The sequence below is a fragment of the Homo sapiens genome, chromosome 20 (genome assembly GCF_000001405.40).
Source record: "Homo sapiens chromosome 20, GRCh38.p14 Primary Assembly".
NCBI classification, from domain to species: Eukaryota; Metazoa; Chordata; class Mammalia; order Primates; family Hominidae; genus Homo; species Homo sapiens.
Genome location: NC_000020.11, coordinates 10,293,002 through 10,308,030, shown reverse-complemented (window position 1 = coordinate 10,308,030; position 15,029 = coordinate 10,293,002). Strand labels below are relative to the sequence as shown.

The 15,029-nt window shown below is 38.8% G+C and overlaps 1 protein-coding gene across 15 annotated transcripts in view, besides 1 other annotated feature; it reads right to left on the bottom strand.

Moving 5' to 3' along the window:
• SNAP25 (synaptosome associated protein 25) overlaps positions 613 to 15,029 on the bottom strand; it is an 88,589-nt gene continuing 74,172 nt past the window's right edge. For 10 of the 15 annotated variants that reach the window (NM_001424416.1, NM_001322907.2, NM_001322910.2 and 7 more), the window contains 4 exons: positions 14,753 to 14,870; positions 10,981 to 11,106; positions 8,619 to 8,763; positions 613 to 1,902 (listed from right to left, as the gene is read on the bottom strand). In NM_001424416.1, the coding sequence (NP_001411345.1) occupies positions 1,834 to 1,902; positions 8,619 to 8,763; positions 10,981 to 11,106; positions 14,753 to 14,870 (458 nt within the window). In that variant the 3' untranslated portion in view covers positions 613 to 1,833. Of the gene's footprint in view, positions 1,903 to 8,618; positions 8,764 to 10,976; positions 11,107 to 14,752; positions 14,871 to 15,029 lie in introns of those variants that run through there. The other 5 variants (XM_017028022.2, NM_001424415.1, NM_003081.5 and 2 more) reach the window with 2 other exon arrangements.
• Positions 6,618 to 7,535: an enhancer, noted in NCBI's record as "OCT4-NANOG hESC enhancer chr20:10281144-10282061 (GRCh37/hg19 assembly coordinates)". NCBI's record gives its function as "activates a minimal SCP1, AML or CMV promoter by ChIP-STARR-seq in primed H9 embryonic stem cells {active_cell/tissue: H9 hESC(primed)}" and the evidence as "EXISTENCE:reporter gene assay evidence [ECO:0000049][PMID:30033119]".

The window sequence follows — 15,029 nt, the reverse complement described above, 5'->3', positions numbered from 1 at the left end:
GAGATAACTAGTAAACCAGTAATTCCCTAGGGCTGGGAGAAGTGAGATGGGAGTGATTGCTAATAGGTATGGGGTATTTTGGCGGCAGTGATAAAGATGTTCTAAAATTAGATTGCTACCTCAGTGAATATACAAAAGAAATTAATTATATATTTAAATGGATGAATTTTATAGTGAGTCAGTAAAGCTGTTTAAAAAAACATGGAGTCAGTGGTGGTGTGGTAGTGAAGCCCTCAATTTTAGATGGTGGGGATTTTGTGGAAAGGAAGGAAGATTGGAGTTGACAGACACCAGATATACCTGAATCTATGTAGGGCCATGCCTGGGTACCATAGATTTTTTTCCTATAAATTTTTCTTTCTATGTGTTCTGGATAACTACATTTTCTCCCTTAGTCAACACTGAATTCACAAAGTAATTCTGGAGCAGGTTATGAGAATCAAGCCAAGTTGTCAGTTGCCACTGGAATCATGCTTAAATCTTCTATTTTCCCCCACACTGTCCTCGGTGCACAGAACTGGCTTTTAGTAGCTGGGATAGGGTAGCCAGGCTTTCTCTTCTCGTGTGAGTGCAAAATCAGACGAGTCCATGAAGAAATTAAAGCAGATCATCTGGAGTCTATAATTTTTAATAATTTTAAACTAGCTACAAAATGTCAATCACTTCACAAACTGACAGAGGAGACAGGAGGAATTTAATATTACATGCTATAATGATATTTATCTCACAGTTTATATTTCATTCATTTATATTATTTTTTTAAAAGGTTTCTTTATCAGCTACTAAACATCTCAGCAATTTGGTGTGCATAGCTCTAGATTAAGCAACAAAGAATTGTACTGATAACAAACCACAGGGGAAATGGTGGTTAGTAAGAGTCAGCCTTATAAAATTTACATCCACACTGTTTCACAGCAAGATTGCTCTCTCCAAAACATAGCCATCAAAAGCAGCAAACAAACCCTATATTACATCCATTTGACATAATTTCAGCCAAACATATATTTTGCTGGAAATGATTAAATGGTGAGTGTGTCAAATCCATCTTTTTTAAAATTCTTTTTTTTAAAAAAGGATGATTATGATTTAGAAGTCTCTATATATTGACAGGAAAAAAGTGACACTACTGCACTTTTGCTGGTATAACTTAATCTTGACAGTGTCTCAATACTGAGCATGCTTTGTTGTTGTTCTGTTGTTGTTGCTGTTGTTTTGTGTGTGTGTGTGTTGTCTCATCAGTATGCTACTGTCATGGAAAGTTTTTGTTTAAGTAGGAATCTAAAAATCTATTTAGTTCTCATGCATAAATGCATAAATCACATCACTTTTAGTGCAATGCCTGTTATGTAATTCCACATTGTCTAATCATGAAATCATAAAGACAGATAACAGCCATGAGGAACCAAAGACGGCACATTTTGAGAGATTCAGAGCCTGACACTCAAAGGACCGTGGCAGTAACTCTGTGGAATGTCACAGTTTTACAAGAACAATACTGTGGATTGAAAGAATCAACAGCACATTGAGCATTCCTAAATTGTTGTTATTCAGCAAATGCCACCGAGGAGAGAAAATGAAAAATGAAACTCAAGACCTCAAGGAGTTAGAGCCACCAAATGACCACTATGTACAACCTTTGGAAAGAAAGAGACCAAGAGAGAACAAAAGACACAAAGTATTGTTGGGAAGCTGACAGATGACACAGGACAACATTCACAATGGGGGTGGACTGATGTGTGTTATGTGTGCAGACCTACTAGATAATACCATGAGAAAAGCATGAAGGAGCTATCTTGCCCGACAGCATTTGGAGGAGAACACGGGTGGGCACACTTAACCACTTCCCAGCATCTTTGTTGCACGTTGGTTGGCCTCATCAATTCTGGTTTTGTTGGAATCAGCCTAGAAAAGGGGGAAAAGAAACAGAACTCAGGTTACCCCTTAAAAATCCATTCACCCTTCTGGGTCCGGGTCCAATGCTTCCTCTTGGGTGAAACCACTTAAAACCTCCTTGGTCAGCATGGGCCATCCTTTCTTTTGTCTTCCCAGAATGACGGCTATGGCTCTATTTGAATGTGACCGTAGAAGCTTAATTTTCATTTTTTTTTTTTAATGAACGAATATATTTTTTCAGAATCATTGCTTTTTTAATTTTCATTTTTAATAATTTTCCCTACCAGAGAGCGTAGGCTTATATATGATTTATCTTTCTATCCTAGAAAGACACTCAATGACTTCTGTGGTAGGCATTCACATCTGTTGGACCAAGTTGAATTACACTTCTTATACTGTAGGATTGAAACCATGGCTAATTTATTAGCAGTGTCCCTTTGAACAAATTACATCTTGGGGGCTCAGCTTTCTCTTCTCCAACCTGGATGATAAAAAATATTGCTAATGAGCATGAGCATGTACAGTGGACCCTTGGACATCATGGGTTTGAATGGTGTGGATCCACTTTTGTGTGAATTTCTTTCTTCCTTTTTTTTGAGACAGGGTCTTGCTCTGATGCCCAGGCTGGGGAACAGCGGTGTGATCATAGCTCATTGCACCCTTGACTGCCTGGGCTCAACTGAGCCTCCCATCTCAGCCTCCTAAATAGCTAAGACCACAGGTGCATGCCACCATGCCTGGCTAATTTTTCTATTTTTTGTATAGATGAGATCTCACTATGTTGCCCAGGCTGGTCTCAAACTCCTGGGCTCAAGCAGTCCTCCCTCCTCAGCCTCCCAAAATGCTGAGATTACAGGCATGTGCCATTGTACCTGGCCAGGATTTTTTTTCAATAAATACACTGGAAAATGCTTTGGAGATTTGCAACAATTAAGACAAACTTGCAGATGAATGTGTTACTTAGAAATATTGAGAAAATTTAGAAAAAATTAGGCATGTCATGAATGGATAAAATATATGTAGATACTAGTCTAGTCTATTATTTACTATCATAAAATACATATAAATCTACTATGAAAAGTTAAAATTGATGAGACTTAAACAAATATAGACCATACATGGGCCTATTTGCAGTTGAGAGAAATGTAAAGGTGAAGTATTAAATCATAATTGTATAAAATTAACTGTAGTCCATACTGTACTACTCTAATAATTTCATAGCCACCTCCTATTATTGTGGTGAACTCAAGTGTTGTGAGCATCCGTTTAAAATGCTCTGTGATACTAATCATCCTCACCATCTCTCCAGTAAATTGCATAGTGCAGTAAAAAGTGATCTCTTGCAGTTTCACATTTAAAAAAAATCATGTTTAGTGCAATACTGTAAACCTTGAATAACATCATGCACCCATACAAAGTGCCACCAGTGATGCTAGCAGTGCTCCCAAAAAGCAAAAAAAAGTCACGACATTTCAAGAAAAAGTTGAATTGCTTAATGTGTACTGAAGATTTCAGACTGATGATTCATCTTGTAAACAAATGATATAAACTGATGGTATCAATAAATACAGCATAGTATTATAAATGTATTTTATCTTCCTTATGATTTTCTTAATAACATTTTCTTTTCTCCAGCTTACTTTATCATACGAATACAGTAAATAATACATAAAACATAGATGTTAATGGACTTTTTATGTCATTAAGGCTTCCAGTCAACAGTAGGCTACTAGTAGTTAAATTTTGGGGGAGTCAAAAAATTTTCAGCTGCATGGGGGTTGACACCCTAAATCTCCATGTTGTTCAAGGGTCAACTGTACTTTGTTCCACTCATTAAACTTTGACAACATCAAGATTAACAATATCAACTATAAAGTGTGTACTATTATTAGCTCACTTTTCCAAATGAGAAAAGCAGTCAGAAACGATCTGGGGAATTTGTCTGAAGTCTTAGTACTAATAAATGGAGAAACCAGAGTCTGAATGCTAGCAACCTGGAGTCAGAGTCCACACTATTCATCACTTACTATTCAATTTGCTGAGATCAAATGAGTTTATACACATAATGTGCTTGGAATAATGTTTTGCAAAACGAAGGGCTCATTAGTTTATCTTGCAATTATTGTTACCGTATGAGAACTTGGCTTGCTTCTGGGATGCTTAATAGTTTTTAAGTTGCATTTCTGAAGATTCATTTCTATGAGTTTAATAACTGTCTTTTCTTTAACAGATGCACATTTACTATGATTTTGTAACTGGCTGGCTTTAATCTCTTGGTTGATCTCTTTACTGCTTGGGTTATGTTTGCTGTATATGCAGCATGAAACCTAGGGCTGCTACCAGCATAAATCTTTAAATTCCAGAAAATGAATGATTCCCATCACCACTGAGAAAAATGCATCAGCAACCAGAGGTGAAGACAACGATTCTATGGAGGCTTTTCTTTTGTCCTTCCCTGACTGGTAATGCTGTCTATCCTTCTACAGCCTGGGAAGAAGAGGAGGAGGCTGCCAGGCAGTGTGGGGAAACCAAACTGTTTTTCTCTCAACCAGTATCACTCAATGATTACCAGCTTTGTACCTATTGTGGTGCTGTACTTCCCAATTTTTATTGAGCTGAGTCTTCTGTATTCAGTTCATATCGTGAATTCTCAGGACATTAGAATTATCCATGTTCAAATAGAAATTTGCAAAGTTAAAACAAACATATTTCCAGATTAATCATAACTTTGAATACCTGGCAATGGTTCTCTGTCATCTGTTTGGATAATTGACACTTGTCTTTTAAAATCAGTATTTACATAGTAAGATAGGGCATTGATTTTGATTGTTTTGAACTACAGACTCACATTTTTGACCTCAGGTTTCTCAATTGGAAAATGGATAATCTCACCAATTTTACTTGGTTCTTAAGCCCTCCCTTTCCAGCTACAAATGGTATCAGAAATAATGACACTTCAGTGCAAAGGAAAGTTACAGGATCAGAGCAATGTGAAATGTTCCTGTAGATTGAATTATTATGTTGCCAGACTAAATGCTCTGAAAAGCTCAAATGAGAAAAATAATTCATTTTAAAATGATGGCATTCCTGAGCGCAAACATTCTAGGATCTCCTGTACAAGAATGCACTGAGGGGCCTTCACCTGGGGATATTTGAAGTAGAGCATGAGGTTACTCTGTATATCCTTAAAGGATCTGGGAGGAGCTGAAACAGACTTATGTTCAATGAGCATCTGTGATTTCCACCTAACTTACTTCTGAAGCATATGAAAATTCCACCCCATGCAATATTTGACACAGAAAGTACTGCCCCTTTATTATATAAAAGAATTAGCTTCTTTTAAAAAAAAAAAAAAGTCTGGAATCTCCTTGTAGATGTCTTCCTGGTATTTGGAGAATGCCCCTATGATCACCCTACTTATATGCTGTAGGACTTTATTTATGATGGCTGTCCCATTCCAATTTTTATATTTCTATTTAGAAAATTCTAAATTTGCTGGAGTGCCCAACATATGTTACATGTTTGTCCTTGTGAGAAGGCCAGGATGACCACCAAAGAGCCAGTAAAAGTTTAGAAGGAGCTGTTCAGCCCATCTTCTGAACGCTCCGGGAATCTCTTCAACTTCAGACCATGCCAGGTGACTTTTAGAACCCAGTTCATACTTCCAGCCTGTTCTGATCCTAGGTTTGAACAGTTCTCTTACTATCCTTCAGGTGAGGCAATCAGGTCACAGAGCTGGTGAATGGCAAAACCCTGTTAGAACTCAAAGTCTTAGCTCTCAAATGCTGTGTTTTCTCACTGATAGAAGAATGTGAGGACTGCTAAAGAATCAGCCTCACTGTATTCCAACGTGTGCCTGTCATCTACCACTGACAACTTTATTTTTATTTATATATTTACTTATTAGAGATGGGATCTTGCTCTGTTGCCCAGGCTGGAGTGCGAGTGCAGTGGCACGATCATAGCTCACTGCAGCCTGGAACTCCTGGGCTCAAGGAATTCTCCTGCCTCAGCCTCTGGAGTAGCTGGGACTGCATGCCTAACTTACCACTGATAACTTTAAATCAAAGTTTGAACATTGCTAAGGTATTTCCTTAGCAACAGTTCCCATAAACCCTCTGATATAGGCTTGCTTCCAATTCAGTAAGTTTTCTGAAAAAATTATGTTTTTAACCTTAGAAGGTATATCTATATATGGTTATTTTTATATATGGTTTTTATATATATATAATAACCATATACATATAATATATATATTATATATTATATAATATATATAGTTATTTATTTATATATATAAGGTTATTATTTATATACATAAATACCCTTAAGCAGAAAACGAGATTTTTAAATAAAGTAATTTCTTGACAATCCATGAGGATGTATTGAAAATCTCATTGTTAAGGACTCCCAAAACTTCACTATTGATCCAAGTGATGAGAAAAGATCATGATTGATAGAGCTGGGTAAAGGTTGCTGTTGGGGTCATGAGAGATTATGAGAGAAACATCATAAGACTCTCCTTACCCCTACAGTGTGATTGCAATTACATCTTAGATATGCAGGAAACTTCCACATACTGTCCCGTTATCAGAAATGAGAACTTCAATGAGAAGGTGGAAATCTATTAATAATTGTGCAGTTCATGCGACATGATCATTTGGGGCAATGCTGGGTTGAAGTGGGCTCTATTTAAATCATGTGTGGATTTTGATTCTGGAAAAAAAAGGGGCTATTTAAAGTGCTGACTGGAAACTAGTTATTCAAAGGCAATTAGACCCTTCTCCCACTTAAATGATTCTGCACTCAAGGAATGATACAAATTGAAATAGTCATTATCCATCCACCTGCCTGGCTTCTGATTAAACCTTGTAGCTGCATATGTCTCTGTCTTTATAGTACACTGGGCGTAGAAGAAAAACCTTCTCCCTAAAGATGAGAACTAGAAATTCAAAGTGGCAGAATCAAGATGCCACTTGCCTTTCCAGGAACACATTTTCTTGCTTAAAGTTCAACTCTGTCAATAAGAGTTTGACCCTTCTATTAGTAAAGACGCTCCTTCTGGAACCCTAATTGGCTTTGATGCATTATCTAGCTGCATCTGCAAGTAAAGTGGGTCCATTAATAGAAAATGAATACTTCCTGTTTTTTTCAAATTGTTTTTTCTGTTGGAGGGCAGCTCAGCAATGATTTTTTAGTTCATTATTCTGGGCCGTAATGGGTTAGGTCAGCTTGTGTTGGCTCTAGTGAGTTTTGAAACTCTCATTATTATTCTAATATCTATTGATTTACACAGCTTTAAAAGCTTTATCATATGAAAGCCTTCTTAACAACGATAAGCATGCCATTACTTGCAAAAGTAAGCAAAGCACAAGTATTTTGCCAACCAACACTAAAGTTTGCGTAGTTTTCATACTGATCAGGCAAAATATGCAATCAGATATTTTTAACATGGAGTATGTACAACACAACAGGACAAAGTGTTCCCTTTATGCCTACTTACTCCTTTTTCAAGTCATTGGAGGTTGCTTGCATACCAAGAAACTACTATTTAGATTTATGATTCTAAAAATCTTAAAAGTATCCTTCTCTGCTCACCAAAATGGAATGAATTATTATAAGAAAATTTAGGATATCAGACAAAGAACTTCAACGTCTCCCAGGGAATAAACACACAACATAAGTTACCCACATTGAGTAGATTATAGATGTACAATTATCGTTAAATCTATAATGTCTCTTTTTCTCCTTTTTAGCATTTGGACATAAGAGTTTGTAATCAATATTCAAGACCCTACTGATTGAGGAAAGGGCATGAAACATGGAAATATAAATTATGTCGGAGTTCTGTGTTGTAGAATATCAGGTTTTGGTGCCCTAGGTCTCTTTATAGGAACGTTCCAGTGTTTCTTTCCAATCTCTTCTAATTTTAAGCCCCCAAACCCACCCCTTCCCAGTCTACTCCCTCCAGTCTTTCTTATGGCCCACGTTGACATGGTGGATCTTAGAGCCAAGTCTGGTGTCCTTGTGTAAACTCAATTTCATCATATAAAATTCCCTGTTTTTAGAACTGGGGATGTGAACTGTTAAACTGGAAATGGAACCTGGATATTTTTGAATTCTCATTAAAGCTTTGGCATTTATAAAAGCAAAGCTCATAATCATGTCCTGGCTATACTGACTATTCTTTCTCCCATTTTCTGATTCTATCCCTTCACCACCTCCACTTGACAAACTATTAATACTAACCATCCTTCAAGATTCAATTCAAAGTCAACTTATTCTGAGATTTTCCCGAACTTTGCCTCTTGAGATCTTTCCTTATCTAACCTTGTTTAGCATTTTATCTGTGGATCTCTTAGTGAATTATATTTTGAGTGATAGAAAATTCATCTGGAGGCTCGTAGCCTCCCATAGGCCGTGAATTTCTTGGCAGTAGGGGTGGTGTCTTTCTCATGTGTACATGGCCCACAGTGCCTAGCACAATGCCTGGCTGACAGGAGCCTTTGAGAATATTTGCTGGATTAAATTTGACCCTCTTATTTTCACTCCAATTCTGTTGCTGAGTCCTATATTTTTCTCTTGGAAAATGAAGAACATTTCCAGCTATCAGTGCGCCTGAATCCAAGGTCGTGTTTTGAGGATCTTGTTATGCCCTTCACACTTCCTGTTGGTCATTTCAGAAGTGACTCGCAGTAGGGACTTGCTGACTGCCACGTGCTCACCTTCTCCATGATCCTGTCGATCTGGCGATTCTGTGTATCGATCTCATTGCCCATATCCAGGGCCATGTGACGGAGGTTCCCGATGATGCCGCTCACCTGCTCTAGGTTTTCATCCATTTCATTTTCTCGGGCATCATTTGTTACCCTGGGATCCAAAGAGCAAGTTTTAGAAGACAGAGGGTGGAAAACATATTGAATACCAAGGACCCAAAGCATAGTGGAAATCTGTCGTCCTCTGGGCATCAACTTTATCTATCTTTAATCTCCATCCAGTACAAAAACACATTTTAGCTTTCATACATTTAAAAAAAATGTTTAAAATTGCTTTTTGAACCCTTGAATTTCTATTCTTAAAGAAGGTATATTAAATAGATTAATTTATCTACTTTCTCACTCCTTCCATTATGTTGTTTCCCCTTCATATGTTTATTTCAATTTTTATTGTTTAAGGATGAAAACATTTTCTTTGAAAGGACTTTAGGTCAGAGCACGAAGATGGAATTAGAAACGATATTCTTCTTTCTAAGAATATTCTTAATATTTCTAAGACTCAAATTAAGTCTCAAAATTTCTAAGACTCAAATTAAGAATACAATAAAAAGCTTATTGTGCTAAGTCAGAGTCTCTGTGCTCATCTCTTTTCACACTTGGGATTGACACCAATGGGAAGAGTAATGATAATTACAGTTTGCCCCTTAACCCTGCTTGCTCCCAGGAACTCCAAGGAGAGCTACTTGTTCAAGATGATTTTTATTTACTCATATGTTAATAACATGGGTTTTTTAGTGGCATGGTGCATAGGTGATTTCAGAGTCAAAAACTGTGAAACTGTGACAAAAGAGTATTGTTTCAGGTTGAGTGGAATGGGAATGGGAGGAAGGAGCTGGCTCACAAAACACATTACATTTTTTCACAGTCCAACTTGAAAGTTAAGGAGGTACTTATTTCAGAATTTCCCTAGTATATATGGTATTGAGCTAAAAAATATTCAGAAGGGTTAAAATCCTTCCCCCATGGTAACTCCCAATGCAGACTGGCTCATTATGGTTTCAAAAGCAGCCCAGGGCAGAGAAAATTAAAAAACTAAAGGAGAACTTTCTGGCTTTTTCCTGTAGGGAAGAAGTTTATTTAAATGATCATCAATAGCTAAGAGATACTTCTAGTTCAATGGTGCTTGGCCCTGAGTGCATATCAGAATCACCTGAGGAGCTTTAATGGGCCACAGGTGCTTGTGTCTCACTTCAAGAGATTCTGGTTCAATTGGTGTGGATTGGGCCCAAACACTGGTAGTAAAAGAAAAAAAAGTCTCCCCTGGTGATTCTAATGTACAGCCAGGCTTGAGAACCCTTGGGCTACTTTCCCTGGGAGCAAAGGGAGAGCTGAGTTCTGAATTGGCTGATGTGTGTAACTTGAGTTTTTTTTTTTTTTAAAGGAAATGCCCCTGAGTCATAATTTGAACTTTTAAAAATAGATATTTAAATTGGCTTTTGATTCTAGGTTTCAAAATAAATCATTAATAAGAAGCTCATTATTCTCTATTTTCACTCCAAATCCGTTCTTGGACCTTCTTTGCTCTGTGCTCTCAGGAGCTGACCTCATGACTATATCACCCAGCTCCTCTTACCCTCTGGCTTTCAGTAGGCTTTGGCTAATGGCCAATGAAACTGCAGGGCAAGAGGAGTGAGGGGCTACAGCATTTATTTCCCTCTTTCACTCCCTGTTAGCTTTGGTAGTGGCTGTATTTCTCTACTGATAGTTCCTTGCCCACAGTCGTAACTATTGCTGGGTTCTGATAATCATTCCTTCTCCTGTCCCCCAGGACTATGGTGGTAACAACTTCCTGCTATTGCTAGCTCAGAAGTGCTTCACCATTCCTTGTTATTAGTCCTGCCCACCCCTCTGTAAGTAGTCTCTTTTATAAGCTCTATTCAATTAAACTCATGGAATGTGATGCCTGTCTACTGCCACATTGAGTCTGGATGTGGTCATGTGACTTGCTTTGTCTAATGAAACCGGCAAATACAAGGTAAGCAAGCAAAGGTTTGGTAAGTGCACTGAGGCTTGCCCCCTTGGAATACTGCTACCACCATGTAAGGAACCTGGGCTCTCTTGCTGAAGAGGCCACATGGAGAAGAACAGACATGCCCCACCAACAGCCCCAGCCAACCACCAGACAAGTGAATGGGGCCATCTTGGATCACCCCACCCAGGCAAGGTCCAGGAAAGGCTTAGAAAAGAACACTTAGCAGGTATGTAGATTAATGAGCAATAAAATGGTTGTTTTTTAGAAAACCACTCAGTTTTGGAGTTGTTTGTACTTGACAATAGAGAACTGCTACAGTGTATGCTGCATGAGGCTCACCTGCGGATGAAGCCGCCACTGATGGCCATCTGCTCCCGTTCGTCCACTACACGAGCAGGCTGGCTGGCCACCACTCCGTCCTGATTATTGCCCCAGGCTTTTTTGTAAGCATCACTTGATTTAAGCCTATGCAAAAGAGAGGGTGAGTGACAAGGCACAGGGGTGGAGGAGCAAGCTCTCAACAATTGTCACTTCTTCAAGCGAAGAATCGAACCAAGCGAATGAGTTTTAAGTCGAGGCATTAGATAATACCGATATATCATAATCCAGACCCAAACAGTTGGCCACCACCATGCCTCAGCTACTCAACATTTCACTTCCAATCGAATCCATTGCAATGGACTGCAATCTTTGCCCACAAGGTTGTTCTTGTTTTGGTTTGTTTTGTGGTTTAGTTTGGATTTTGGACAAGGATTAAGGTAGCTGGAGGACATTTAATTCTATTTTAGTGATGTGATTATATTTGGAGACATAAAACAGAGAAAAACATACTGGCAGACAGACACAAAACAAGACTGCCAAGTAGAGTGTGCACATCACACCACAGCAACACACTGTCATCAAGAAAACATCCTCAACCAAGTTTTTACACACCATCATGCAAAGATCCCTGTGGAATATTTTTTTTTCCCAACACGTGTGGAACTAACATTTCCAAAGCTCCATGAAGGACATAAAGGATTGGTGGTTGGCCAAGAGTGATGGTCTTTGCATTGCCTCTAGAGTGATTTGAATTAGATAATATATCGGTACTTCCAAACAGTCACCATACATCCAGAGTTGATGTACAAACCTTTGTCCACAGAGACAAAAAGTAAAAGAAGCATAGTGAAATGAATGCAGGAAAAGAGAAGAGAGAACAAGCCATCTAGCACCAAAAAGGGAAACCCCTCTACGTCTTCTTCATGCACCAGCTACAGGCATGAGTAGAAAGTGAAGCATTCTCATTTAAGCCAAACTACTCCAGAAGTTGACCATTCTCGAAAAAGGCACTAGCAGGACAGTAATAGCCTTCATGAGGATTTGAAACGCAGGTTCAGTAGCTTCTTTGTTGGGCTGAGGGGCAGGGCAGAGAGTGCTTACAAACTCCTAGTTTAAACTATCCTGGGGTTGTAATGGAGGAGAGTGGTTTAATGCTGGTATGGTCTCCATGGGCTGTATTTCACTGAGCTGCCTTGGAGAAAAGACTTAAAATCCAGGCATACCTATTGTGCCCAATAGAAACATGTGCAGCATATTTTGGTGAGTGTTGTAATTAAAGGCAATCAAAGATGTTTTTAGGTTCTTTACATAGTAGAAACCATATGCTTTTTAGTCCAAAAACAAGAGACATTCTTTGGTCCCATTTTCACATTTTTTTTTGTAAGACACCAGAATTTAACATTTTATCTTCTTCTTTCGCCAGAGGACCACAGCCATCTATTAAAACTGGCTCTAATACTTGCAGACTGGGGGCCAAGCAACCCTAGAGACAAACTGGAAAATTGTACCAATGGAATTTCAGCAACTCCCACAATCAAGTCTATAATGCCGCAGGCCTTAGTGCAGTCAAAATTAATTGCACCAAAGGGCCATGGACCCATTCAATGAAACGAGATCCCCAAACTAAATTTAATAGGGCTTAGAGTCTGGCTTTTTTAATTTTTATTTTTCCAACTCCCCATCTCCTCCCTCCTCAGATTAAAAGAAGTTATATGGACTTTGTGATGTTTTCTGCTATGTCAAATGTCTGCTATACCATCTTTGGCAAAGTCAAAGGAGTGGGAAGTATGCGTTTCTGAAAGAAGGCAAACCACTGCACCCACAATGCTGCACATAGACTCACATCACTGCCGTACATCTACCATCGTCCCTTGAAACATGCCGAGACAGGGCGAAGCCCTCAGAGAGTCCAGGGCACCACCAGCCACTGCGTTGTGACACATGGTTTTTAAAGCATTATTTACACACAATAGGGAACACCTCAGTCAAGCTTTGAAGCTTAGTTTAGGGTCTCTTGTGCATTAAGGAAATTAGTGACCACTCAAAAGTGGAATTCGTAGGAGCCATCATTTCATTAGAACATCAGAATCCATCCCAGGGGACCCTGCCTTCACCCTTTCTTCACACACAGTTGATGAAGGGGGGAAAATGTATCTGTTGGAATTTATCATGAAATGGATGGAAATCTCACCTGGGGGCAAGTTGCCACTGAAAGGAATATACAGTCAAATCTTGACTAACTGGAATGCTTGGTAATGAGGCTTTTTTTTTTTTTTTCTGATGAATTATATGACTTTCTTAATGAACAGTGGGGCCATGGAGGAAAGTTTTGTTTCATGGATGATGAGTGAATATCTTTGCTAGACTCCTGAGCCACTTTCCTGCCTGAAAGTCTTAAGGTAGAAGACCTGATTGAATCTTTCCTTGGTTATCATTTATACTGATTGCTTGATGGCCTTTTCTGTGAAGATCAACTCTTATTGTTTGGTCCTCATAGATGTGGAAGTTGCAGGAGGATGGAGACTAAGTGAGACAATGCAAACTACCCTGGAAGAAAAACCATTTTACATTTCTGATGTGATTTTTTTTCTTTGTTTCTTTTTTGCTAAAAATGGAAGGGAGCAAGAGCATGCAGCTGAGGTTTCCAGTTAGCTAGATTCCAGTTAATCAGGCTTTACTGTAGATCACTCTTTAAAAAGCAGAATTTTTTAATTTTTTTGCAATATGAGCCCCTCCCCCTCCTAAACAGGAAGTGGGATATTTTAAATCAGCCTCAAAGTTTAAAGGATGTGAATGGTCATATAATCTGCTAAAAATGACGTCAATTTCTATTCTAAAAGCTAGGATCAGGAGAGCTTTTAGGAAAAAGTCTTCTTTTAGAAGGGGGAAGTGGGAGGGGTGAGGGAGATTGGATAAGGAGTTTAATTTTCCAAATGCATGTTGGGCAATCCACTCATGCATTTCTTTTTCCACCACTAGTCAAATGAGACAATCTTCCAGAACCCTCAGTTTTAGGTTCCTTCCATTGCAAACCTTTATAACCACATGTCACATTTCTGCTACATTCCAAAAAAGCGTTGCAGAACCTTGAGAACAGTTGAATGTTTTGTGATGTTGTGCATGCAAAATCTACACATTTCAACATTTCAGCCAGTGTACGGGTAGATCTTCCAAGGAGAAAAATTTGGGAGGGATGGGTCCAATTTGAGTAAGGCTTGAGCACTTCTTGCTGAAGAGCTCATTGCCTCTGTGTTGGGTGCAGTGGCAGCATCTATTGACAAAATTTGGCAACTGGTGGGCAGTAGAAAGGGAGAATCTCTGTCATATTCTCTAATTTATAGAATCCTTCCCTGGGCCAAATTACCTGTCTCTTTTATTTTGGAAAAAATCAAACCTTCGCATATGTGTTTCTCATCTTCCAAACTTACCCGCAGCCTTTTCTAAATCTGTAATTTTGACTCTTGGGGTTGGGGAAAAGGAAGTTCCCTGGGTGCCTCTTTCTTGAGGCTAGCCTCTGTCTCAAGGTACACTTTCTGGAAAATGTTGAAACGTTCATCAATAAAAGTTGCTGACAGTGAAGCTTTCACTGTAGTATGCCTGATTTTTAATGCATCAACAGTAACTCCTGCTAATATCATCTATGCTATGAGATGAATGCATTGGAGACGGTATTGATCTGTTCTGCATGCCACATGCTCATCCTGCCTATGAGCTTGGCAGGAATGAGCTTGTCAAGGCTTGGAGATGGGCCTTGGGAAATCAAAGCTTCAGGCAGGCAGGCAGCACCTACTTGTTACAGGGACACACACAAAGCCCGCAGAATTTTCCTAGGTCCGTCAAATTCTTTTCTGCTTCTTTCATGTCCTTATTGATTTGGTCCATCCCTTCCTCAATGCGTTCCAGTTGTTCTGATTAAACACAAGTATTTTATCCCCACAGAATGAAGCAGATGGAAAAGGACAAAGAAAAAAAGACAAAACTTCAGACATTCACTTTGACATTAAAAAAGAAAAAAAAAAAAAGAAAGAAAACTGGACGCCACAGATTAGAGCTGGTACCCAGTACCT